Below are 23,934 nucleotides of genomic sequence, written 5' to 3'. Positions count from 1 at the left end.
ATTGGTGCTCTTAGCTGGATCTTCTGGAGAACTTGCTGCAGCTTCTCCGTCAGCACTTGCGGCTTCACCTTGTACTTTTATGTGATGGGGACTGCCTCTTAATGTAAACCTCATGAACCCACCTCTGCTAGCTTCAGACTTGAATTCTGCAGCTTTCCCACCTCTCTCAGCCTCGTGGAACTTGCTCTGACTTAAGGGAATGTTGGGGCTGGTTTGATCTATCCAGACCACTCAGACTTCTCCGTATCAGCAATAAGACAGTTTCACTTTCTTATCGTTGGTGTGTTCAGTGGAGCAGCACTTTTAATTTCCTCCAAGAACTTTCCCTTTGCATTCACAACTTGGCGAGCTGTTTGGCACGAGAGGCCTGGCTTTCGGCTTATCTTTGCTTTTGGCACGCCTTCCTCACTAAGCTTAATCCTTTCTAGCTTTTGGTTTAAAGGAGAGACATGCGACTCTTCCTTTCTCTTGAATGCTTAGAGGCTGTTGTAGGGTTATTAATTGGCCTGATTTTAATACTGTTGTGTCGCCCAGGGAATAGAGAGGCCCAAGGAGAGGGAGGGAGGGAGATGGCTGGTCAGTGAAGCAGCCAGACACAAGCAGCGTTGGTCGGTGAAGCTTTTGCCGTCTGAGGAGCATAGTGTGTGGCGTCCCAGAATCAATGACAGCAGTAAGATCGGAGACCGCCGATCACAGACCACAACAGACATAACAGTGATGCAATGTCGGAAGTACAGTCAGGACGTGGCGCCCCAGAATCAATGACAGTAGTAAGATCAGAGACCACCCATTACAGACCACAACAGATATAATAGTGATACAATGTCTGAAACGCCATGAGGATTACCAGATGTGACAGAGCCGTGTAGGGAGCACATGCTGTTGGGAACATGGTGCCTCGCCGAAGGCAGGACGGCCACAAGCCTTCCATTTGTAAGAAGCACAGTATCTGTGTAGTCCAGGAGAGCAAGGCGTGCCTGGGTCCATGCTGGCTCCTTATTGTGGCCAGCACACTGTGCTCGTGTAAGATGTTAACAGTGGGGCACCTGGGTGTGGAATATGTGAAAAGTCTCTACCATCTTCTCCATTCTTCTAAATCTAAACCCGTTCTAAAAAAAAAAAAAAAAAAGAAGAGTCTATTAAGAAGACAAAGAAGGAGCCGAAATTTCCACGTGGCAGAAGGCACTGGAACCGGTGAGATCTGATGTGTACCTGGGCCTGATCCACGTTTGCTGCATGGCTGGACACCTTCGTGGGCGCGTGGAAGCTCATGCTGTGGGGGGAGCTGTGGGAGGAGCATGCGGCAGGTGGAGGTCTTCTGCGCGTGGGTGGGCACGCGGAAGCTCGTGCTGTGGGGGGAGCTGTGGGAGGAGTGCTGGAGGAGCCCTGGGAGGAGTGTTCAGGAGGCGGAGCGTGCCTCGTGCGCGTTGGTGGGTATGAGTGGCGTTGGTGGGATCTAGCTGACCACCTCCCACCTGGTTGGTCTGCATCTGTAGACAGCTTAGTTCTTAGGATTCTAGGTACCCAGTGTCATTTCCGACACCTGCTTGGGCTCCCTGTACTGCCAGGGCTGTTGAGTCTTTACAGCACCTCTGATCAGGAGCCCTGGCCTTGGGGAGGTGGGACAGGCACACGTCTGGGTTGCTGGGTTGCCTTTAGGGGTAAGCTCTTCCTTTTGTCTTCTGTTCAAAAGAGGGCCCACAGTGGATTCAGGCCTCTGATTTACCACTGCCTGGAGCTTGGGGAATGCTCTCCAGTGACAACCTGGGCTTCCGTGGGATTTAATTTTGATATATTGGCCTTTGTGTGTAGGAAGAGTCCAAACTCACGACCGGATGGATTGTCCTCCTCAGACTAGACACTTCATCCAGAGAGGACTCTGAGCCAACCCTAAGGGATTCAGGCTGGAGCTCTGGTTCCCCGCACGGAGGTGGCGCAGGAATGCATCGTCCTCCCCTGTCCTGACTTGTCAGCGCTCCTGCGCTCATGCCTGGGAGCCTGGACCCCAGCTCTGTCCCGACTTGTCAGTGCTCCCGCGCTCATGCCTGGGAGCCTGGACCCCAGCTCTGTCCCGACTTGTCAGTGCTCCCGCGCTCATGCCTGGGAGCCTGGACCCCAGCTCTGTCCCGACTTGTCAGTGCTCCCGCGCTCATGCCTGGGAGCCTGGACCCCAGCTCTGTCCCCACTTGTCAGTGCTCCCGCGCTCATGCCTGGGAGCCTGGACCCCAGCTCTGTCCCAACTTGTCAGTGCTCCCGCGCTCATGCCTGGGAGCCTGGACCCCAGCTCTGTCCCGACTTGTCAGTGCTCCCGCGCTCATGCCTGGGAGCCTGGACCCCAGCTCTGTCCCGACTTGTCAGTGCTCCCGCGCTCATGCCTGGGAGCCTGGACCCCAGCTCTGTCCCGACTTGTCAGTGCTCCCGCGCTCATGCCTGGGAGCCTGGACCCCAGCTCTGTCCCGACTTGTCAGTGCTCCCGCGCTCATGCCTGGGAGCCTGGACCCCAGCTCTGTCCCGACTTGTCAGTGCTCCCGCGCTCATGCCTGGGAGCCTGGACCCCAGCTCTGTCCCGACTTGTCAGTGCTCCCGCGCTCATGCCTGGGAGCCTGGACCCCAGCTCTGTCCCGACTTGTCAGTGCTCCCGCGCTCATGCCTGGGAGCCTGGACCCCAGCTCTGTCCCCACTTGTCAGTGCTCCCGCGCTCATGCCTGGGAGCCTGGACCCCAGCTCTGTCCCGACTTGTCAGTGCTCCCGCGCTCATGCCTGGGAGCCTGGACCCCAGCTCTGTCCCGACTTGTCAGTGCTCCCGCGCTCATGCCTGGGAGCCTGGACCCCAGCTCTGTCCCGACTTGTCAGTGCTCCCGCGCTCATGCCTGGGAGCCTGGACCCCAGCTCTGTCCCGACTTGTCAGTGCTCCCGCGCTCATGCCTGGGAGCCTGGACCCCAGCTCTGTCCCGACTTGTCAGTGCTCCCGCGCTCATGCCTGGGAGCCTGGACCCCAGCTCTGTCCCGACTTGTCAGTGCTCCTGCGCTCATGCCTGGGAGCCTGGACCCCAGCTCTGTCCCGACTTGTCAGCGCTCCCGCGCTCATGCCTGGGAGCCTGGACTCCGGTTTACATTTCTCAGCGTGTCCTTGGGCTGTGTGTGGTCTGCGTGTCCCTGGGGTTGTCTGTGGGGTCATGTGGCCCCTCTGGGCTGCCTGGTTTCCTTTTCTCCCACATCGTGTCTGGCATTTCTTTATTCAGAAATGAGGCATCTGTTGTTGGCTTCCCTGTGGAGTTTGTGTCCCTCCCTGAGCTCCCGCCTCTGTGGGGCCAGCCCCAGTGTGGACTTGTGGCCCCCTGTGCTGCTGGGCCTCAGGTTTGGGTCTGCGGAGTACATGGGTGTGAGTGCTCTGACCACTGGACTCTTAAAACATGCAGCCCTCTTTGACTGTGACACTGGACATGTGCAAAGCTTGGGGACTGATCAAAAAGTATAAAGAGGCCATTGAAAAAGACCTTGACTCCTGCACCCAGAGGTAGCACCAAGAACATGGCATGCATTTCATCTCCACGTCTCCCTTCTCTCCTTTCCTCCCCTGTTCATTCATTCAGCCAATCTATCAGCCAACCAGTAAGCACTCACGGACACCCACGTGCGCAGGTGCCATGGAGGCAGCCGAGTGTGGGGACTGCTGTGGCAGAGCTGGCAGCCTTGTGTGCTTCCTGCACTTGTGACATTTTATTGCAGCCAGTGCCTGTGCCATTAAGCATTCCTTGAAAATAAAATCTTTTTTGGCTGTACGATGTTTCTTCGTGTAGACATACCAAAAGTAAACTCTTGGCCGGCTGCGGTGGCTCATGCCTGTAATCCTAGCACTTTGGGAGGCTGAGACGGGTGGATTGCCTGAGCTCAGGAGTTCGGACCAGCCTGGGCAACACGGTGAAACCCCGTCTCTACTAAAATACAAAAAATTAGCTGGGCGTGGTGGTGTGTGCCTGTAGTCCCACCTACTCAGGAGGCTGAGGCAGGAGAATCGCTTGAACCCGGGAGACAAAGGTTGCTGTGAGCCTAGATCACACCATTGCACTCCAGCCTGGGCGACAGCGAGACTCCGTCTCCAAAAAAAAAAAAAAGGAGACTCTTTATTGGAAATTTAGCTTTGTTTTTAATTTTTTCATGATTATTGCTAATGTGTGCAACATCCTTGGACTCAGTGCTTTCCCCATATCTGATTCATTTGTTATTTATTTATTTGTTTAGACACAGGGTCTTGCTCTGTCGCCCAGGCTGCAATGTGGTGGCGCCATCTTGGCTCACTGCAGTCTTGAACTCCAGGGCTCAATATATCCTCCTGCCTGAGCCTCCCCAGTAGCTGGGACTATAGGTGCATGCCGCCCCGCCTGGCTAATTAAAAAAAAATTTTTTTTGTAGAGATGGGGTCTCACTATGTTGCCCAGGCTGGTCTCAGGTGATTCTCCTGCCTCGGCCTCTCACAGTGCTGGGATTGCAGGTGTGAGCCACCGCAGTCTGATTACTTTTTAGGCAATTGTTACTGAGTGGAAGGGTGTGAACACCTTCAGGACCCTTGGCCAGTTTTGCTGACTCGTTTTCCAGAAGCGCCCGTGACTGCTGTCCCAGCAGGTGTAGCGTGCAGCCCTCATGGCCTCACTCGTGCTGAGTGTTAGCATTTTACTTCTTGCCACTCCAGGTGAGGAACGGGTCTTAATGAATTTTGTGTTTGTCAGTTACGTTTCTTCTGTTGATTGTTGATTTTTCCCAGTTTTCTATTACCGTGTTAGTGATTTTCCTATTGATTTGTAAAAGGTTTTCATGTATTTGTGGCACGTTTTCCCCAGTTTGTCTTTTACCTTTTGTGTTTTTAAGTGGCGTTTTGGGACCCACGGAGGTGTTGGTGTGGCGAAGCGTGCTGGTCTTTCTCTGTCATTCCTTCCACTGCTTCGGGGCCCACAGCCTTTCAGGGCCTTGCTCCATGGAGTATCCATCTTGTTTCCTTTAGTTCTAGTGCAGTGAAGCAGGCGAGGGCAGGGGTGACCGGGTCATCTGGGCTGGTTCAAACTGGGGCTCCGCACCCAGGTGTTCTGTGCCCCCGGGGTGCGTTACTCACACCTGCAGCACCCGGGCTGTCTCTGTGAGAATGGGATGATCGAAGGGCCCACCTCCTGGCCAGCACAGGGCCTGGCACGTGGTGCCTGGCTGGCGAGTGTATGAGTGGGGTGCTGGGCTGGGAGCGTGAGCTCTCGGAGTTCTGCGTCTGTTTATCATGGCCAGTCAGTGGCAGCGTCAGCTGGGTGTCCTCAGCCCACGCTGCTGTACCCCAAGAAGGCAGTAGACACGTGATACCAGTGGGCTGGGGGCATCTTCTCAGCTGGTGCCCTCTCCACGTCCTTCTGCGGGGGCGCCTTGCCCCCCTGCCCCATGCACACTCTCCCTGTGTGCAGAGTGGGTCTTCCTTCCTGGTGTGGGGCTCCCTGAGTGCCCTGCCTGTCCTCGCCTGTTCTTACAGTGCTCACGTCTGCCTCCCTCTCCAGGCTGAGTTCTGGGAGAGCAGGCCGGCGCCACCCCCCTCACCACTTGCTAGGAGCTGGCCTGACCCTGGTGGGAGCCCACAGCCCTGGGCGCGAATTCAAAATGCCAGAAGCAGCACAGGGTCCCTCGAGCCTGGTGGGAGGTACTTCCCATGGGCGAGTCATCTTGTTTTGAATTCTCCTCATGCTGATTTCTGGCCCCACTCAGCCCAGCACAGCTCTGAAGGAGACGAAGGCAAGGCCAGCTCTCCCCAGCTGAGATGAGCTTTCAGTTGAGGAAGGACCCTGATGTCAGAGCTGTTTGGGTAATGGCCTGCCCCTGGCCATGGATGTGCACCAAATCTTTTCAGGACTCGTGGGGTCACTGCTGCCCGGGGGCTTTAGGTAGCTATTAGAGCCCAGGGCTGGGCAAGCGCTTTCCCACCTGCCCGTTAGCATGATGGCCAAGAGCCCAGGCTCGGCTTCACGGAGGCTGGAGACCTGGGGCGCGCGCCTTCCCCTGGAGCCTTGTCCTCATCTGAAAGGGAGGACTCCAGCCTGCCTCAGGAGGTGGTTCCGAGGACTGATTGGCTGATGGTTTCACTCGTTCATTTTTTAATTGAACACACAGTTCCTGAGCACCTGTTCTGTTCCAGGCACTGGACAGGGACTGGGGCCGGGCGTCCCGCATGAATGAGGGGTCAGGGAGCTGATGCATGGAAACTCCTTGGCACAAGGCCCGGAGTGTGCCTGGCACCCTGGGCACTGGCTGCCTGCCTGTTACCCGTCGGTGGAGAAAGCCACCTAGACTTTGCAGCACTGTAAGATTTTTGAACTGTAGAAGACCAAGTCCATCTAATTCCCTGTTTTGCTGATAGGAACGCTGGAGGCCTAGAGAGGAAAGGAACCCGTCTGACTGCTCAGGCTGAGTAGTGGCCCCAGAGCCGTGACTCCACTGTGCTGTCTGTTTCCCACGTTGCCCTGCTCTCCTTTCTCCCTGTCCTGTCAAATAAACTGCACTCAAAATAGAGCCATGCGGCACAGGGCCTGTCTCAGGCCCATGGCCCCATATCCGCGTGGGTCAGGCATGCTGGCGAGACCTTGCGAGGGTCACGTCCTCCTCCCTGGTGAGGGGCCGTCTGCAGCCACTGTGGCTTGGGTATGGCTTCCTGTCAGGATGGTCCCAGTGCCCTCCCAGATGTGCACGGCACCCACGTCGTCATAGCGCAGGTGTGAGCAGCTGCTGTAACAAGGCTGGTGCTGGTTCAGGTGGATGCTGGGGAATGCATTTATACAGCGAACACAAATGAAGTGGAATTTGTCATAGAGCAGTGTGAAATGTAAGTAAAATTGCCTCGGGAAATCATAATTGATTCCACTCCTTCCTACAATAGGTGTTGTAGAGCTTTTTATCAGAGGTTGAAATTGTAAAAACCAGGCTTGCTGGTGGGGAGCCCAGAACAGCCCCTTTTCCCCCTCCCCCACAGCTACACGTGGGTGGTGGAGGCCAGTGGGGAGGGTGTGACGGCAGGAAGCCAGAGGAGGAGCTGGCTGAGGGTAACCCCAAGACAGCTGTGGGGCAGGGAAGGGAGCGTGCTCTGTGTGCCTGGTGCAGCTGCAGGCAGAGGGGTGAGTAGTGGGAGAGGACCCCGTGCTTCCTCTCTGAGCGGCCTGGTGTTCAGCCTCCTGCTGCCTTCAGGAGAGCTCGCGTAGGTGCAGTTCATGGAGAATGCACAGCTGGCTGCTGGAGGGAGGATGCTGCTGAAGGCTGGGGACCGTTTTTTCTCCTGGGGGCTCCTCCGAATCCAGTCGCCCAGCAGAAATAGAGCTTTGTCAACAGTAAACCGGGTTTATTGGTCAGATAAGATAACCTTGTAATGAGACTTGTGGAACTTGAGGCAAAAATGAGGAAGAACAGAGAGGATGGAATGGGAACAAGGGAGAGACATGGTATCATCAAGCTCTGAGCAAGGTTGGCCGAGAGCACCAGGCGCAGGTTGGGGGCTGAGGAGGACAGAAACGCGTCTGACAGCAGGGCGCCTCCCACGGGGCCCCGGAAACCCTCGCTGACCCACAGTATTGCCCTTCAAAACCTGGTCATTGGTGCCCATTACAGAGAACCCTTTCATCGGGAAAAGAGACCGTTTCTCCTCATTCTCAGTTTCCTCTGCCGGGGCGGCGTCTGGTTTGTTTTGGAGGCATTTTCGTCAAGCGCAGATGGGCAGGTTCCACTCCTGCGGGGTCCGGCCACCTGTCACTGGCGCCCTGGCTTACCCAGGGGCCTCTGCACATCAAGGCTGTTCAGGGGCCCGCGTGTAACAGGCTCTAATTAGCGTAAGCAAGTGAATTAGCCTTATCTGTTCATGAAAGAAGTGAAGCAAGAAATGCATTTGGTGACACTTTGTCAGTGCTTTGTTCGAGCTGCTATACGGAAATTATTAATAGTAGAATTGCATTCTGTTACAATCGCCCTCTAATTCAGTCACCATCCATTGAACTGGACTTTTTACCCAGTTAGCAAGGTAATGAGTTTGGATGACTCTGAAAACTTTGTGACCTCCACCCCGGGCGTCACTGTGGGCTGGGGGAACCTCCTCAGGCTGTGTGTGGACCTTCCGTGGAGCGCGGGGCGGGGCGTAGCGGACATGCACCTGTACACAGCTCTGGGTTCCGCGTTTCTGGGGCACTCTCTGCCAGCCAGGGGTGCCCTGCAGAAATGAGGCTAGGATTACACGGGGAGCAGCTTGGGCCAAAGACTCGATTTCCATCTGCTCCCTGAATGTGGTGAGCCCGGTGTCCACAGGACTGTGTAGGAGGGGACAGCCAGCATCTGCCCTTTCCAGAGACCTTTCTCCTGGCACTCGTGTCTGGGCGCTAGGGATGATCTTGTTTCTGTTCCTTGGATTTTTACTTCTCTTCAGCTCCATCTGAAGCTTTTCCCCTCTCTCATTTCATTGTAATCATAACTCGCACATCAACCTCAAATTACCCTCTATCAATCACTCTCTTGCCTAGAAACTTGCTGGGCTCCTCCTCTTCTGCTGCCCTGGGTGTGTCATGCAGAGTGCCCTGCGCCTGCCACCAACTCCCACCGCCCTTGCTCTCCCACTGCCAGAAAGTTAGGCCTCCAGGCCTCTGGAGTCCGAGTTGGGCTCACGGTTCCATCTGAGTGTGTTTGCCCTGAGCTGTTTGTAAATGGGACTTACAACCACAGCCAAGCTCTTCAAATTATGGAGTTCCGTTTAAAAAAAAAAATTACTGCCTTTTAATCTTTTTATTAGAGCATAACAGACATACAGAAAGTGCTTTGTCCTGAGAGTACATCTTAGAGGGCTATGATGAAATCAGTCCATCCATGTCTCAGCTCCACGGTCGGGAACACGGTGTCACCAGGGCTCCCAAGTTCACCTGCCGGCTCCTCCACCTCCCCCAAAGCCCTGCCTTCCCGATTCTCACACGCCAGTTCTGCCCATTTAAAAATGTTGTGAAATGGAGCCATGCAGCGTGTAATCTTTCGTGTTTGGTTTCTGTTGCTGTGTTATTTCATTTCTATCTTATGGGTATATCACGTCATAATTTTTAAAATTTTCTGTGAATGGGCGTTTGAATTTCTTTATTTCTTGGCTACTGTGACTAACACTACAGAATGGGAGATTATATCATCTTTTGTTAGGTATTTGTATTTCAAATGTCTCCTCTCATTCTGTAGCAGCTTTTCACACTCTAAACAGAAATTCTTAATTTGAATGAAATCTAATTTATCAATCTTTACCTCCCTTTGTGGTTGTGATTTGTGTGTGTCCTGTTTAAGAAAGCTTCGCCACCCTCCAGGTTGTTCCAGGGTTTCACTCCTGTCTTCTTGGTGGCTTTGCTTCTTCACACTGACCGTGGCACTGCGCAGCCTTGTTGCCCTGCGCAGCCTTGTTGCACTGTGTGAAGCCTTATTTTTTTTTTCATTTTTCTTGTCAACGTGGGTATCCAGTGGACTCAGCACTCCTTACTGCAAAGCTGCTCCTTCCGCCTGTGCCACAGTGCTGGTTACACCTTCACGTGAGGTGGCTCTGTCTGTATTGGCTGTTTCTGGAATCTGTATTGTTTCGTTGGTGTGTTCATCTCTTTTTGGCAAAACCACAAGTTTCAATTCCTGAGAATGTTAGAGTCTCGTTACCTGATAGGGTGGCCCTCTCTGCTTGTCTGCATCAGGGCTGCCCTGGCTCTACCTGGCCATCCGCCTCTTCACGTAGATTTTACAGCTCAACCTGTCAGTCTCACCAGTGGACTTGCTAGAGTTTTTATTGAGAATGCATTGATTAAATGACATCTGCACAATATTGAATCTTCTAATCCATGGACGTACTATATGCTAACATGTGTTTAGGTCATACTTTTTTTTTTTTTTTTTTTTGAGATGGAGTCTTGCTCTGTCGCCCAGGCTGGAGTGCAATGGCATGATCTCGGCTCACTGCAAGCTCTGCCTCCTGGGTTCGCGCCATTCTCTTGCCTCAGCCTCCCGAGTAGCTGGGACTACAGGCGCCCACCACCACGCCCGGCTAATTTTTTGTATTTTTAGTGGAGACGGGGTTTCGCCGTGTTAGCCAGGATGGTCTCGATCTCCTGACCTCGTAATCCGCCTGCCTCGGCCTCCCAAAGTGCTGGGATTACAGGCGTGAGTCACCGCGCCCGGCCTTAGGTCATACTTATTTTCTCTCGAAATTGTTTCATAATGTTTTCTGGGTGGACATATCATGGGTTTTGTTGTTTTGAATAATAATGTTTGTGCTTTGAATAATAATGTAGAAATCTAATTGGACTTTGATTATTAACTTTGGTCCTGCAGCATTGCTAAATCTACTTATTTTAATAATTTATTTGTAGATTATATTGACTTTTCTATGTTCATAATTGAGTGATTTAATAATAGCTTTCATTGTCTTCTTGATCTTCGTACCTTTCATGCCTCTTCTTATCTGTGGCTTAGCATAGCCAGTGCTGCTTTGGACAGACATGCTGATAGCTGGTGTTTGTTTTGCATCATCAGAAGAAAAGCTTTCAACATTTCACTGTTAAAGATCGTGCTGACGACTTTAGTAAGGAAATCCTTTTCAGATTAAAGTTCTCCCTATTCCTCATTTGCCAAGAGGGTTTTGCTTTTGTTTTGTTTCATAGTTTTTATCGTGAATAGATGTTGAATTTTAATCAAATGCCTTTTCTGCAAATATTGAGATGATCATTTGATTTTCTTCTATATTTTGTTAATGCGCATTAAATTAATTGATTTTCAAATGTTAAACCAAACTTACATTCCAGGAATAAATGAGCATGGCCTATGGGTTATGCTCTGTGTGTAATGCTTTATTTGGTTTGCCAGTACGTTAATTAGGGATTTTGCATCTGCATTTATTGGGGAGAAAGGTCATTACTTTTCATTTCTCAGAATGTCGTTTTCAGGTTGTGATGTTATGGCTTTTCTGGCCTTAGAAAATATTAGCAAGTTGTCTTCTGTTGTTTTCTGTAATCGTTTTATAAGGTTGGTGATATTTCTTCTTTAACCGCTTGGTGGAGTGTACCAGTGAAAGCATCTGGGCCTAGGGGTTTCTTGTTTACAAGATTTTAAATTTGGGCTTGATTTATTTTAATAGCTTTGAAACATCAGATTTTCTTTTTTTTTCTTTATTCAGTTGTGGTAAAAGTTAGTTTTTAACTTTTAAAACTTCATTTTATCAAAACTTTAAAATTCATTTGTGTAAAGTTGTTTATTGTCATGTTTTTAATATTTTTGTGATCTCTAGTTATGTCTTTTTCAATATTGTTATTTGCTTATTCTTTGTAATCTGTCTCATCAAGAGTTTATCAATTTTATTAGTCATTTGGAGGAACCATCTTTTGGCTTTATTGATTTTTTCCCATATGTATTTTATTTCATTAATTTGTTACTTTCTTTGAGTCTAATTTGATGTTATTCTAACTTTTGAGTTGTATATGTAGATAATTGATATTTATCCTTTCTTGTGTTACAGTATATGCATTTAAGGTTGTCAATTTAGTTGCATACCGTACGTTTTGATGTGTTGTATTTTCCTTATCATTGGGCTCAAGTCATTTATCAATTTCCATTGTGATTTTTATTTTGACCAATGGGCTATTCAGAAACAAATTTCTCAAATTCCCAACATCTGGTGATTTTCAGGTATCTTCTTATTGATTTCTAGCATTATCTCCCTGTGCTCAGAGACTATCCTCTGAATGACCCCAGTCCCATAAAACTTACCAAGAAATGCTCTATGGCCCCATCGGAAGTCAGTTTTGTAAATGGCCCATACACACTTGAAAATAGTATGTATTCTGCAATTGTTGAGTGCAGTGTTTTGTAAATAGCTACATATCATTTGTTAATCTTATTCTTCACATTTCTTTAATGATGTTTTTTCTCAGCTCCTGCAAGAGTTGTGTTGAAATTTCCCATTATGATTGTGAGTTTTGTCTATTTCTTCTTTTAATTTTGTCAATTATTGCAGTATGTCTTTGGATGCTGTTTTATTAGGCACATATAAATTGTGAATTATCTTCCTGGTGAATTTTGCCTTTTGTTATTATGAGACATTCTTTATCTCTGCGGATTGTTTTGATTTTTAAATCTCCTTTCTGGGATATTAATACGGGTATGTCAGCTTCCAGTGTTTAATAGCATTGGCACCTTTTACTTTTTCACTTTTCATTTTGAGCATTGTTAAATTGTTTCATTATAAATGTAGTATACTATAAATATATAAGTATTTATATTCAGCGTAAAAATCATTTCTTAGTCGAAATATTTAATCTAATTGTAACTGATGTAATTAATGATACATTTGCATTGAAATTAACCATCTTAATAGTTGCCTTTAGTTTTTATTCGTTTTTTATGAAAACATCTTAATCGTAGAATAAATTTTTTTATGATCGTTATCTTGTTATGTGTGCTTTTATGTAATTTTAGTGGCTATGTTGGTGATTATAAGATAGACTATTATTATATACTTAACAAAGTCTAATAAAATTAATACTTCTTTTCCTTCTAGACAATCCAAGGGTCTTAAAATCCTTTCTTCTGTTTACATTTTGCTCCATTCGTAGGCTATTGCTATAAAGTACTTTATTCATACACTTACGTGTTTGAAAAGATACTGTTTTTGTATATTCATTTATATGTACACATTTCTAACCCTTTTTATTCCCCTGTGTTGCAACCTGTATCTCTGAGCATCCATCTGCAATCGTTTTTCTTCTGTCTGCAAAATACCCCTTGTTTCCTTTGATACAGATTTAATGCTGAGGAATTATCTAATTTTCTTGGGGTCCGGAACATATTTAATTCACTTTTATTTTTGAAGAACAGTTTTGCTGGGTATAAAATCATAGGTTATCAATGCCTGTCCTATCCACCAGCCTACAACCCTTTGAACCTATCATTCCACTGTCTTTTGACTCCCATTGGTTCTGCTCGGAAACAAGCTGTCAGTCTCACTGTTGCTTCTTTTAAGTTAATCTGTCTTCCTCTCCTCTTCCCTAGCTCTTTTGATTGTTCTCTTTTTGGCAGGAGAAGTGTTGTTGAAATGTTCCTCTAGATCTATAATTTTTTAATTAATAAAGTTTGTTTTCGGGAGAGTTTAAGGTTTACAGAAAAACTAAGAAGACAGCATAGAGCTCTCATATGATTCTTTCCACAGCACAGTTTTGTCTGTTACTAAAGTCTTACATTACTGTGGTATATTTGTTACAGTTCATGAACCAGTACTGACACATTATTTTTAACCAAAGCCCATAGTTTACATTAAAGTTTACTCTTTGTGTGGTGTCTTTCTATGGATTTTGATAAGTTCATAATATCATGTTTCCCTCATTACAGTGTCATACAGAATAGTTTGCTTCTATTCTCTGGAAGAGATTTTGGAGAATTGGTATCATTTCTCACTGAAGTAGTTGGTAGAATTCATCAGTGAAGCCATCTAGGTCTGGTGCTTTCCTTTTTGGGAGGTTATTAGTGATCAACTTAATTTCTTTCATAGATACAGCCTGTTTTTTTTCTGGCTGAACCCAGGGCTGGGGTCGTCGCCAAAGTGACTGTAGGAAGTGCCCACAAGGGATAGCCACAAACCCGCCTGAGATGGGGCTGGCTGGGATTCCAAAGAGAGAAGCACTAAACCCTGAGTGATCATTTGAAGCGTTTATTAGGGGAACTTGCCTACAGAGGGGGCAGCAGCTTCCTTGTGACCACAGCAAGACCTGAGTATGTCTACAGGGAGGGGTCTCATTGTGGAGTTTCTATGGGAGTTGAAGGAAATTGGCTCACCGCCAATTTCTATGTGACAGCAACATGCTGATCTTTCTGTTTCAGGCAGTAATGGAATGCTCAAGCCCACAGGGGAAGTATGCAGCTGCCTGGCTCACATGGTGGTGAAGGCCCTCTGTGTGTCTCAGTCAGGAAAGAGAAAGGGAGCTGGGGGTGGGCAGGCCACTAGAAAGACCGATTCATGTGATCTCTTCCTCCTCATGTGAGTTTTGGTGGTTCGTGTCTTTCAAGGAATTGGTCCATTTCATCTAAGTTATCAAATTTCTGGGCGTAGAGTTGCTCATAATGTTTCTTTATTACCCTTTAGATGCCTATAGGATTAGTAGTGATGGCTCCTCTTTCACTTCTGATGTTAGTAATTTGTGTCTTCCTTTTTTTTATTTTTTTTTTTTAATGTTGGTTAACCTGGCTACAGATTTATGAATTTTAAGGAACCAGCTTTTGGTTTTGTTGGTTTTTCTCTATGGAGTTCCTGTTTTCAGCTTCACTGTTTTTTATTGTAATTTTTATTATTTATTTTGTTTTATTTTATTTTTATTTATTTATTTTTTTGAGATGGAGTCTTGCTCTGTCTCCCAGGCTGAAGTGCAGTGGCGTGATCTCGGCTCACTGCAACTTCCGCCTCCCAGGTTCAAGCGATTCTCCTGCCTCGGTCTTCCAAGTAGCTGGGATTACAGGTACCTGCCACCACGCCTGGCTAATTTTTGTATTTTTAGTAGAGATGGGGTTTCACCATGTTGGCCAGGCTGGTCTTGAACTCCCAACCTCAGGTGATCCACCCACCTTGGCCTCCCAAAGTGCTGGGATAACAGGCGTGAGCCACTGTACCTGGCCAATTTTTATTATTTCTTGCTTTAGGCTTACATTGTTCTTCTTTTTTTAGTTTCCTAATGGGAAGCTTAGTTGATTGATTTTAGATCCTTCTTTTTTTCTAACATTTACATTCAATGCTATAAATTTTCCTCTAAGCATGGCTTTTGTTTCATCCTACAATTTTGATAGGTTGTATTTTCATTTTCTTGTTCAAACTATTCTTAAACTTCTCTTGAGACTTCTTTGACCCATGCGTTATTTACAAGTGGATTGTTTAGTCTCCAAATATCTTGGGATTTTTCAGTTATCTTTCTGTTACTGATTTCCAGTTTAATTTTAGTGTGGTCTGAGAGCTTACTTTATATACTTTATATTCTTTTTAATTTCTTTAGGTGTGTTTTATGGCCCAAATGTGGTCTGTCTAGGTAAATTTTCCATATGAGTTTGAGAGGAATATATATTCTGCTGTTGATGCAGTGTTCTGTCATTGTCATTTAGACCCAGTTGATTGATGGGGCTATTGAATTCTGCTGTGTCCTCACTGATTTTCTGCCTGCGGGATCTGTCCGTTTCTGATAAGAGGGTGTTGAAGCCTCCAACTGTAACAGTGAATTGAGCCATTTCTCCTTGTAGTTCTTTCAGGTTTTCCTCGCATATTTTGAGACACTGTTGTTAAGTAGATGCATGTTAAGGGCGGTCATGTCTTCTTGGAGAAATGACCTTTTTATCGGAATGGAGTGCCATTTTTCATTCCTGATCGTTTCCTTGTTCTGCCTGAGATTGATCAAGCTGCTCCACCGTTCTTTTATTTGGGCTTAGTGTGGTCTAGCTTTCTTCCTTTCCTTTCAAAGTGTGTTTATATTTTAAGTGGGTTCCTTATAAACAGCATATAATTGGGTCTTGTTTTTTTAATCCATCCTGACCGTCTTTTAATTGGTGTGTTTAGATCATTCACATTCGAAATGATCGTTGATACTGTTAATACCTGCCATGTTTGTTACTCTTTTCTATTGGGACACTTGTTCTTTGTTTTTTTTAAATCTTCTTTTCTTTATCTGCTTTGTTTGGTTTTAACTGAGCATGTTATATGATTTAATTTTTTAATTCTGTTAGCACAGAATTTTTTTTTTCTTTTGGAGACAGAGTTTTGCTCTTGTCGCCCAGGCTGGGGTACAGTGGCGTGATCTTGCCACCATGCCCGGCTAATTTTTGTATTTTTAGTAGAGACAGGGTTTCGCCATGTTGGCCAGGCTGGTCTTGAACTCCTGACCTCGGGTGATCCACCTGCCTCAGCCTCCCAAAGTGCTGGGATTACAGGCATGAGCCAAGCACAGAATTATCCTAGAGTTTGCAGCATACATTTAGCATGAATCTAAGCCCATGGTCAGATGGCCTTTGACCAGGTCACAGGCAGGGTGGGCGCCTCCCGCAGAACACGCCCATTCCCCTTGCCTCCCGTGCCACCTGCTGCTTCATTTCACCCATCCCTGCACCATCGTCACCCCACACATTGCTGCTCCTATACTTCAAACAATCGTCCATTAGATGAACGAGACTAAGGAAAGTAAGCTAGGCTCAGCGGCTCACAGCTGCAGTCCCAGCGACTTGGGAGGCTGAGGTGGGAGGATCACTTGAGCCCCAGAGGTAGAGGTTGCAGTGAGCTATGATCACACCACTGCACTCCAGCCTGGGCAACAGAGTGAGACTCTGTCTCGAAAAAAACAGATGAATAAAGTAGATTTTATTTTTCCTTATTTGTTACTTCTCTGCTCTGTCTTTCCACATAGATCTGAGTTTCTGACCTCTCATGGGATTCTCTGGAGAATCCACCTCACACTGCTTACAGGGGCCAGGGCTGCCAATGACCAATCTCCCCCAGTTTTCGTTTGTCTAAGAGAGTGTTTTTTGTTTGTTTGTTTGTTTGAGACAGAGTCTCACTCTGTTGCCCAGGCTGGAGTGCAGTGGTGCGATCTTGGCTCACTATAGCCTCCACTTCCTGGGTTCAAGCGATTCTCCTGCCTCAGCCTCCCGAGTAGCTGGGATTACAGGCGCCTATTACCATGCCCAGCTAACTTTTCTACTTTCAGTAGAGACGAGGTTTCGCCGCATTGTCCAGGATGGTCTCAAACTCCTCTGACACCAGACCATCTGCCTGCCTTGGCTCCCCAAAGTGCTGAGATTACAAGTGTGAGCCAGTGTGCCCCGCTGAGAGTTTTTCTTTCTGCTTTTCTTACAGAAGATCATCTTGCTGGATGCAGAATTCCAGGCTGGTGCTGTTTTGTTTCAGTACTTGGATACCTCCCTCCCCTCTCTGCTGCCTGAGTGGCTTCGGTCAGGAGGTCTGATGCATTTCTCACTCTCTTGGTTGATAATGAAGGGCTCTCCCTTCTCAGGCTGTCTTATTTTCCACAGTTGAATATGATATGGCTAAGTGTGGAGTTTTTGGTATTTTTCCTGCTTGATGTTCTCTGAGCTTCCTGGATCTGGGGTTTAGATTTGACAAATCTCGGCCATTATCACGGCAGATACTTACTGTGTTCGCTCCTCGCCTCCTTCTCCTTCTGGTTTTCCTGTCATGAGTAGGTTCCACCTTCACGGTCATCCCACTGTTCTTAGGTCGCCTCTTCTTTTGTTTTCATTGCTTTTTCCTCAGTGCATTTTAGTACGGGAAGTTTCTGTGGACCTGTTTTTACATTTGCTCATTTATGCTCTCATCTTTATTTTTATTCCTATACTTTCTGCATATGTTGTTTTGTTTTTTTTCATTTTTTATGTTGGTTAGTTAGCTTGCTACTTTCAGTTTTAGCCTTTCTACTCTAACCATTAAATTAATACATTTTCTTCTAAGTTATTCATTCTTGAGATTGTGCCACTGCACCGTAGCCTAGACGACAGAGCAAGACCTTGTCTTAAAAAAAAAAAAAAGTATTCTTTTTGCTTAGGCCGCTGTCGTCTCAGATGAAGTTTCTCCTGTCTTGTGTGTGTTTTTAACTAGTGCCTGAAGTCCGTCCGATGTTTTCCTTCGTCTCTGCCCACAGCCACCGGGTCAGCCTCCCTCCCAGGAGGCCCCTAGACTCCGGGTACCAGGGCAGCCCGGGCAGGTGAGAGAGGACCCAGGGAGCTGGCTTTGCTCTCACAGAGGCGGGGTCCTCATGGTGTTCTGCTCTAGCTTGTTCCCATGATGTCAGGGCCGGGCGTCCCCCTGCGGCTCGGTCTCACAGCTGCCGTGTGCCCATGGCGTTCCGTCCTCTGAAGGCTGCTGGGAACTGCAGGGTCAGAGCCGCAGGAAGGCAAGGGTGGGGGCCGCATGGTGCCGGGGCCGGGTGCACGCCTTGATGGGAATGCTGGGGTCACGCTGGGGCTGTGGATAGCAATCTCGGGCCTCGTGAGTTCCTCCTTCCGGCAGCCCAGAGCGGGGGTTAGTGCCCCCCCCGATCATGGAGAGCCACTTCCAGTGGTCTCACCAGTGAGGCTGTCCATGGCACTGCCTCCCCGGGCTGGGCGCTGACCCCGGGACTGTAGGGCCGCAGCCTGGGCGGCTCCTCTGTTTGCAGCACCAGCCGGGGCTCTGCCCCTCCGTGGTCTGAGCGACAGGGCAGCCACAACAGCTCGCAGCTGCTGAGTCCTCTTCCCTCAGCCCTGTGCCTGCCTGGCGGTTCTGAAGATCAAATGAGGTAACGTGTGCTTAAGTCATATGTAGCATTAGCATGCTGTGCTGATGTCACCAATTAAAATCTGCCTGAGTGAATCATACTTGAAAACAGTCAGTTGTCAAAAAAAAAAACCTCGTTTAGGGGCAGCAGGCCCAGGAAAGAGAAGCGAGGGACAGACAGGAGGCGAAGCGTTCTGTAGTTGGTTGTGGGGGCCAGGGCATCCGGCCCAGGAGCAGGCGTGGGCCGAGCACAGGGACGCCGCCTCATGTGCACTCAGCACTGTGGCGTGGCGAGGCGTGGCCTTGCGTTGGGGGTGGTGAGGCGTGGCCTTGCGTGGGTGGAGGGTGGCGAGGCGTGGCCTTGTGTGGGGGGTGGCTGGGGCTGGGCCGGGCAGCCCGACCCCCACCCCCAACCCCTGTGGCCGTAAGTGGCCCTCCTTGCTGCCCTTTCCATTGACGGGTGCTGTCTCCATGTACTTATTAATCCTGGTGCACCTTTTAAGCACTCTTTGGGGCATTCGTGCCCCCGTTTTGCACAAGGAGGGTGGGTTCAGAGACGTTAGGTCCCTTGCCCAAGGGTGCACAGCTGGTCTGTGTCAGATTGGAGCGCAGGACTGTCTGACCCGCGTGGGTCCTCCGAGGCGCTTATTACTGCCGCTTTCGCCTGTCATCATGTTCTCGATGGGCCCCACGGATGCCAGAGTCCTGCTCATTTGGGAAACGACCAGCTGGGATGAGGGTTCCAGAGAGAGGCCTCCTGCCTCTCCCAGCCTCTGTCCCAGCAGGGCCTTCTCCTGTCTGGGGCGATCTTGCTGCTGGGGTCACAGCAGACCTGTCCAGGCTGGTGACTGGGGGTCTGGGGAAAGAGTGGGCAGAGGACTCTGGGGAGGCGGGTGGCAGCGAGGAGATGGTGCCGGCGTCAGTGGGCAGAGCCGTGTCTGCAGCCCCACGTTCCCGCCTGAATCTATTCAGTTTCTTGTGGTGGCTCCATGCGTCGGGAGAGGTAATTAGAACAGGGCTTTTCAGCTATTTATGACCATACATTTCCTTTTCTAAAAAAAGGAGAAGTTGTGGAGTGACTCAGAGTTGGGTGGAGGTGGCTGAGCTGAGGTGGGATGGGCTTGGGAAGAGGCCCTGCAGAGAATGTCGCATGTGCAGAACAGCCTTGGAGCCCTTGCAGAGTGGGCCTCGGCCTTGGGCTGGAGGGGGCGGAGGGAGGGAGGCAGGCTCCACAGCACTGGTGGCAGAGGCCGGGCGGGAGTGGGTGGCGGAGGCTGGGTGAGGGAGGAAGATGGGTGAGGGGCTGCTGCTTCATTGGAGGGGGCACGCGGTACTCAGCTTACTTCTGGGCTTCTCTGGAAAGTGGGGGTTGGTGCTGGGGCTCTAAGGAGGGGCCTCTGCATATGGAGCTGCCTGCCTGCCTCACACAGCCCCTTCAGGCTGCCACTGACTCCCAGGAGGGAAGCCCTCTGTGTCCATGGTGTGGACTTAGGGAGTGCTGGGCGCCTGCCTCACCAGGCGTGGCCATGGCCAGAGGCTGTCCCCATCGTGCGGGACGCGCCTGCCCCACCTGCCTGCTCTCCTGGCCATCTTTCACGAGCAGCTGTAGTCATAGTGGAAGAACCAGGCAGACAGCAGCGAGGACAGAAGTGACCACCGTGGCTGCCGTGCATTCATCGCCTGTGTATGCGGGTTCCGTGTGCCTGGTTTTCTGTGCCATGCTGCATTTGAACTTCGCAGTGAGGCTGAGGCGTTCTCTGCCCTCTCCTGTGTGGTTGAGTGTCCTCACACTCAGAGAGGCTCTTTGTTTTTCCCAAGGTCACACATCTAGTTACGGTCCAGGCAGGATGTGGGCTTCGTTGGGTGTGTGTGTTGGGTCTGACTTGGGGGCTGGCCTGGGCATGCACACCTCAAGTGACCGCTGCTTGGGGGCCACGGGGCCGGTCTCTGCCCACTGCGGTGCCTCCGTCCATATCTCCCCTGCCTGCAGCACCTCCAACAGGGCCGGCGTCCTGCAGTCTCCCGCTCCTGTGGGTGCTCTCACCACCCGCAGCCCTGGTCTCTGTCTCGGCTTCCTGGTCTCGCTGCTCTGATCTCCCCTGCCCTTCCCAAGCCCAGGCCCAAGGGCTGTGCCCTGGGTTTCTTCTTCCAAGGGCACTGGGCCCTATTCTGCCCACTGTCTCAGCCCCTGCTGCCCAGGTGTCCTGCCCCCTGCTATGGCGTTCTCAGCCTCTTTGGGAATCTGTCTCTCATTGCGTGGGAATCATCGGCATGCTTGGGGCTTATACTCAAAAGCTCTGTGGTAATTAGCGCGCCGGAGCACCTGCTGATGAGGGAATGAGCGTCATTATCTCTCTTGCTCTTTCGCAAGGGTCCTCTGGGCGCCTACTCAACGCTGTTCCCTCTGATTGGAGTGCCCTTCCCCACCGCTGCCTCCCAGGGCGCCCAGATCCTTCCTGCAGCCTCCCTGGGTGAGCAGCCCCTCTGCCCGACTATCGCAGGCCAGGGCAGAGCCGCCCTCTACTGCTGCCCCCGGCCCCCATCGGCCGGTGTATCCAGGGCACCGAGGCCCTGTCCTCAGCTGACTTCTTCCAGGTGATGCCGACTGCTCACCTTCTCTTCACATGGCCGTTCGTTGCATGATGAGCACATTCTATTCCTTAGAACCGGGACGTTTCTGTACCTAAGGAGGAGCAGCCAGTGGACAATGTAACTCTGCTGGGTGCTTCTTAAAGCGAGTCTGGGACGCCCCCGTCAGCACTGCCAGCCGCCTGTTTGTTCAGCAGTTAATCACCGCATTTGCTGAGGTGGAAATGAAGTGGACTTGCCCGCAGGTGGAGTCAGCTGTTAAAAAGTCATAGCAAGTCACACCCACACCGTGCCTGCTGTTTCACTACCGGTGACAAAACAGGTTCTTGAAAGGGTACAAACAACAAACTTTCTAATGCTTTTCTTCTGTGCCAGCCAGTGCTAGCCTGGAGTTAGGCTGAAGAGAGCCGTCACGAAGAGAAGCTCTCAGAGATTTACTGATCAATAAAAGAGACAATTACAGCTTGTTTACCAAGGGAAGTCCCCCGCCCCGGCCTTGCGCGGCGTCCGCGCGTTGGTACTGACAACTCCGGTAACTGGCTTGAAACGATAAAAGTCAATGGGAAGATATAGGATTTCAATAAGATTATGACACACGATAAACCTTCCTGTGCAAACAAATTTTCCACAGATACGTGACCCGTTCTAGTTGGATTTGTAACTTTAATTTCTCACTTATTGAATTTTGAATTTTTTGTCATCAGCTAATTATGAAGTCCACACCAGGGTGGCACCTGTGTCCCTGGCTCAAGAGACAGACGGCAGGAGAGCCCCAGACGTGGCGGCCTGAGCTCCAGGGTCTTCTGAGAGAGCAGGCCGGGGTTTCCTGAGCCCCTGCAGCCTCGCCCTCCTCGCCTGTGGGGGATAGACCGAGGGCCTGGCAGGGGCCAGGCAGTCATCAGTGCTGGGGAGCACTGGGTCGGTCTCTCCTAGGAGCCAGGCGGGGCCTGGGCGGGGGCTCAGCTTGTGTACGTGCAGACTCAGGAGGCCGCACGGAAGGGACCCTGGCAGTTTTGTGCACTCCGCTTCTGGGTGGGGGTCTTGCTCCCCAGGCTGCCTGAGTGAGCTGGTCTCTATCAGGGCCATGAATTTGCCCTTTCAGCCAGTACTGGTGGGGGCGGTCCCCACAGCTCTCCTGCCCTCACCTGGTGGGGAGCACGCTGGCCACAACTCAATGAGGTGGTGCAGGGCTGTGCCGGAGCATTGGCCCCTTGCGCAGCATGTGTGTTGGGAAGGGGTGTGGGCCAGTGGAGACCGCTTCCCGGGTTTGTGAGGTCCTGGCTCTCGCTTCTTGAGCACCTGTTGTTTCCAGGGCAGCTGGCTGGACAGTTCATTCCTGACAGCATCAGTCTTCATGGCCACCCCATTTCCCATCTTATCAACAAAGGAACTGAGACTTGGGGAGGGAGGTTGAATAGCTGGCCTCAGGACAGAGCTGGGGCTTGAACCTGCATCTTATAGATACCCATCCGCTTCTTCCTGGGCTCTACTACCCCAGCATCCTCATCCTCCATCTCTCAAGAATGGGGCAGAGCCCCTCAGCAGAGGCTGCTGAGAGCATCAGTTAGATGTCCCTGGGGCACATGTTAGAAGGGCAGATTCCCAGGCCCACCCTGAATCTACGTCCAGGGCATCCAGATGCCCGTGAAGATCTGGAAGCTGCCCTCCCGCACACCTGGGTGGGTGTCTGGAGGGCTGGCTCCCTGATCATGTGGTTCCTGTGGGCTCACGCAGGGCGGACAGGCAGGAGAAGGTCGCCAGCCTGCGCCTGGAATCTGCTCCATCCAGACTCAGCGTCTGAGACCAGAAGGGTCCGGGGGCTGTGGTTCAGGCCCACACCTGGGGCAGGGAGTGCAGGCAATGGGAGGCCAGAGGGAAGACCACACTTCCCCGCAGCAGCACGTCCTTTTTGGGGGCCATCTTGGCAGCTCAGTTCCCGACCCATGGGCACCCGCAGGGTCTGGAGGCAGCACACAGCTCCCGGGGCCCCTGACTGGCTGGCAGGACACAACTGAGCAGGGGTTTCTGCCCGGCTCTAGGAATCAGCCCTGACACTGTGGTCAGTGTCATCCCAGGAAGCTGAGCCCTGCTGGGCCTGGCTGCTCTGTAGGGATCTGCGTGTGGCCTCCGACATCCTGGGAGCTCTGTGGGAAGACAAGGAGCTCCCCAGCCCAGAGCTGAAAAGCGGGGACTCAGCCTTCCCGAGAGCCCTGGGCGGTTGGACGAGCGATGGGTTTCCTGTCCCATTGGAACGCAGCAGCTTCCTGGTGCACACTGTCCCCTCCCTCGACAGGTCCGGGCAGAGGTCCCAGGAAGAGGGGGACTCACCCAGCTCTGGGCCTGCCCACTGTCGTTTCCCTGGGCCCAGTGTGACTGGGACTCAGAGGAGTCACGCAGACCCAATAGAACAGGCTGGGGTGGGGAACCTGGGCTTCTGCCCACTGTGCGCCCTCGCCTTGTGTGTGCTGTGTCCACAGGGGCAGAGGCGTCTGCTCCCAGCCGACCCCATAGCCATACTGCCGGTACGAGGTGGAGCCCACACCCGCTGTAGTGAAGGCCTGACGTGGTCAGAGCGGGTGCCGAGGCAAAGCCAGGGCTGCTGGCATTTACTGGGTCTGGGGATGCTGAACTCTGGGGCCCTCTTCACTTTGGTGGGCCCTCAGGGGTGGGCTCTGAGTGCTGGCCTGGGTCCTCACGAGGGAGCCCCCGCGTGACCCAGCTCTCGTGGGGCCTTCCCTGAGCCGTCTCCATCATTACCTCATCCCCCGTCCCGGGTCCTGATCAGCTGCCCTCTGTGTCCACAGGAGCGGGACGGTATGCGGGCCATCCTGGGGTCCTACGACAGCGAGCTGACCCCGGCCGAGTACTCACCCCAGCTGACGCGGCGCATGCGGGAGGCTGAGGATATGGTGCAGAAGGTGCACAGCCACAGCGCCGAGATGGAGGTGAGGGGCCGCGGGCGTGGGGCTCACGTCGCCAGGTGGGGCTTCTTCCCGGTGGGCCTTGGCAGAGCCTGCGGCGGGGAGGTGGAGGTCTGGACCCCG

General features: G+C 51.0%; 1 protein-coding gene across 5 annotated transcripts in view, besides 6 other annotated features; it reads left to right on the top strand.

Moving 5' to 3' along the window:
* Positions 1-23,934, top strand: part of MAD1L1 (mitotic arrest deficient 1 like 1) — a 417,151-nt gene that overhangs the window by 194,609 nt on the left and 198,608 nt on the right. For all 5 annotated transcript variants that reach the window (NM_001304524.2, NM_001304523.2, NM_001013837.2 and 2 more), the window contains one exon: positions 23,695-23,835. In NM_001304524.2, the coding sequence (NP_001291453.1) occupies positions 23,695-23,835 (141 nt within the window). The remainder of the gene's footprint in view (positions 1-23,694; positions 23,836-23,934) is intronic.
* Positions 4,882-5,561: an enhancer, noted in NCBI's record as "H3K27ac-H3K4me1 hESC enhancer chr7:2072411-2073090 (GRCh37/hg19 assembly coordinates)". NCBI's record gives its function as "activates a minimal SCP1, AML or CMV promoter by ChIP-STARR-seq in naive H9 embryonic stem cells {active_cell/tissue: H9 hESC(naive)}" and the evidence as "EXISTENCE:reporter gene assay evidence [ECO:0000049][PMID:30033119]".
* Positions 6,244-6,925: an enhancer, noted in NCBI's record as "H3K27ac-H3K4me1 hESC enhancer chr7:2071047-2071728 (GRCh37/hg19 assembly coordinates)". NCBI's record gives its function as "activates a minimal SCP1, AML or CMV promoter by ChIP-STARR-seq in naive H9 embryonic stem cells {active_cell/tissue: H9 hESC(naive)}" and the evidence as "EXISTENCE:reporter gene assay evidence [ECO:0000049][PMID:30033119]".
* Positions 17,525-18,344: an enhancer, noted in NCBI's record as "H3K27ac-H3K4me1 hESC enhancer chr7:2059628-2060447 (GRCh37/hg19 assembly coordinates)". NCBI's record gives its function as "activates a minimal SCP1, AML or CMV promoter by ChIP-STARR-seq in primed H9 embryonic stem cells {active_cell/tissue: H9 hESC(primed)}" and the evidence as "EXISTENCE:reporter gene assay evidence [ECO:0000049][PMID:30033119]".
* Positions 18,386-18,535: an enhancer, noted in NCBI's record as "active region_25504". NCBI's record gives its function as "activates an Ori minimal core promoter by ATAC-STARR-seq in GM12878 lymphoblastoid cells {active_cell/tissue: GM12878}" and the evidence as "EXISTENCE:reporter gene assay evidence [ECO:0000049][PMID:35858748]".
* Positions 18,676-18,725: a silencer, noted in NCBI's record as "silent region_17862". NCBI's record gives its function as "represses an Ori minimal core promoter by ATAC-STARR-seq in GM12878 lymphoblastoid cells {active_cell/tissue: GM12878}" and the evidence as "EXISTENCE:reporter gene assay evidence [ECO:0000049][PMID:35858748]".
* Positions 23,043-23,299: a silencer, noted in NCBI's record as "fragment chr7:2054673-2054929 (GRCh37/hg19 assembly coordinates)". NCBI's record gives its function as "represses an EF-1alpha promoter that drives an FKBP-Casp9 reporter gene in an ReSE screen in phorbol 12-myristate 13-acetate-treated (for megakaryocytic differentiation) K562 erythroleukemia cells {active_cell/tissue: K562(+PMA)}" and the evidence as "EXISTENCE:reporter gene assay evidence [ECO:0000049][PMID:32094911]".

Source organism: Homo sapiens, chromosome 7 (genome assembly GCF_000001405.40).
Source record: "Homo sapiens chromosome 7, GRCh38.p14 Primary Assembly".
NCBI lineage: Eukaryota > Metazoa > Chordata > Mammalia > Primates > Hominidae > Homo > Homo sapiens.
This window is presented reverse-complemented; position numbering and strand designations above follow the sequence as displayed.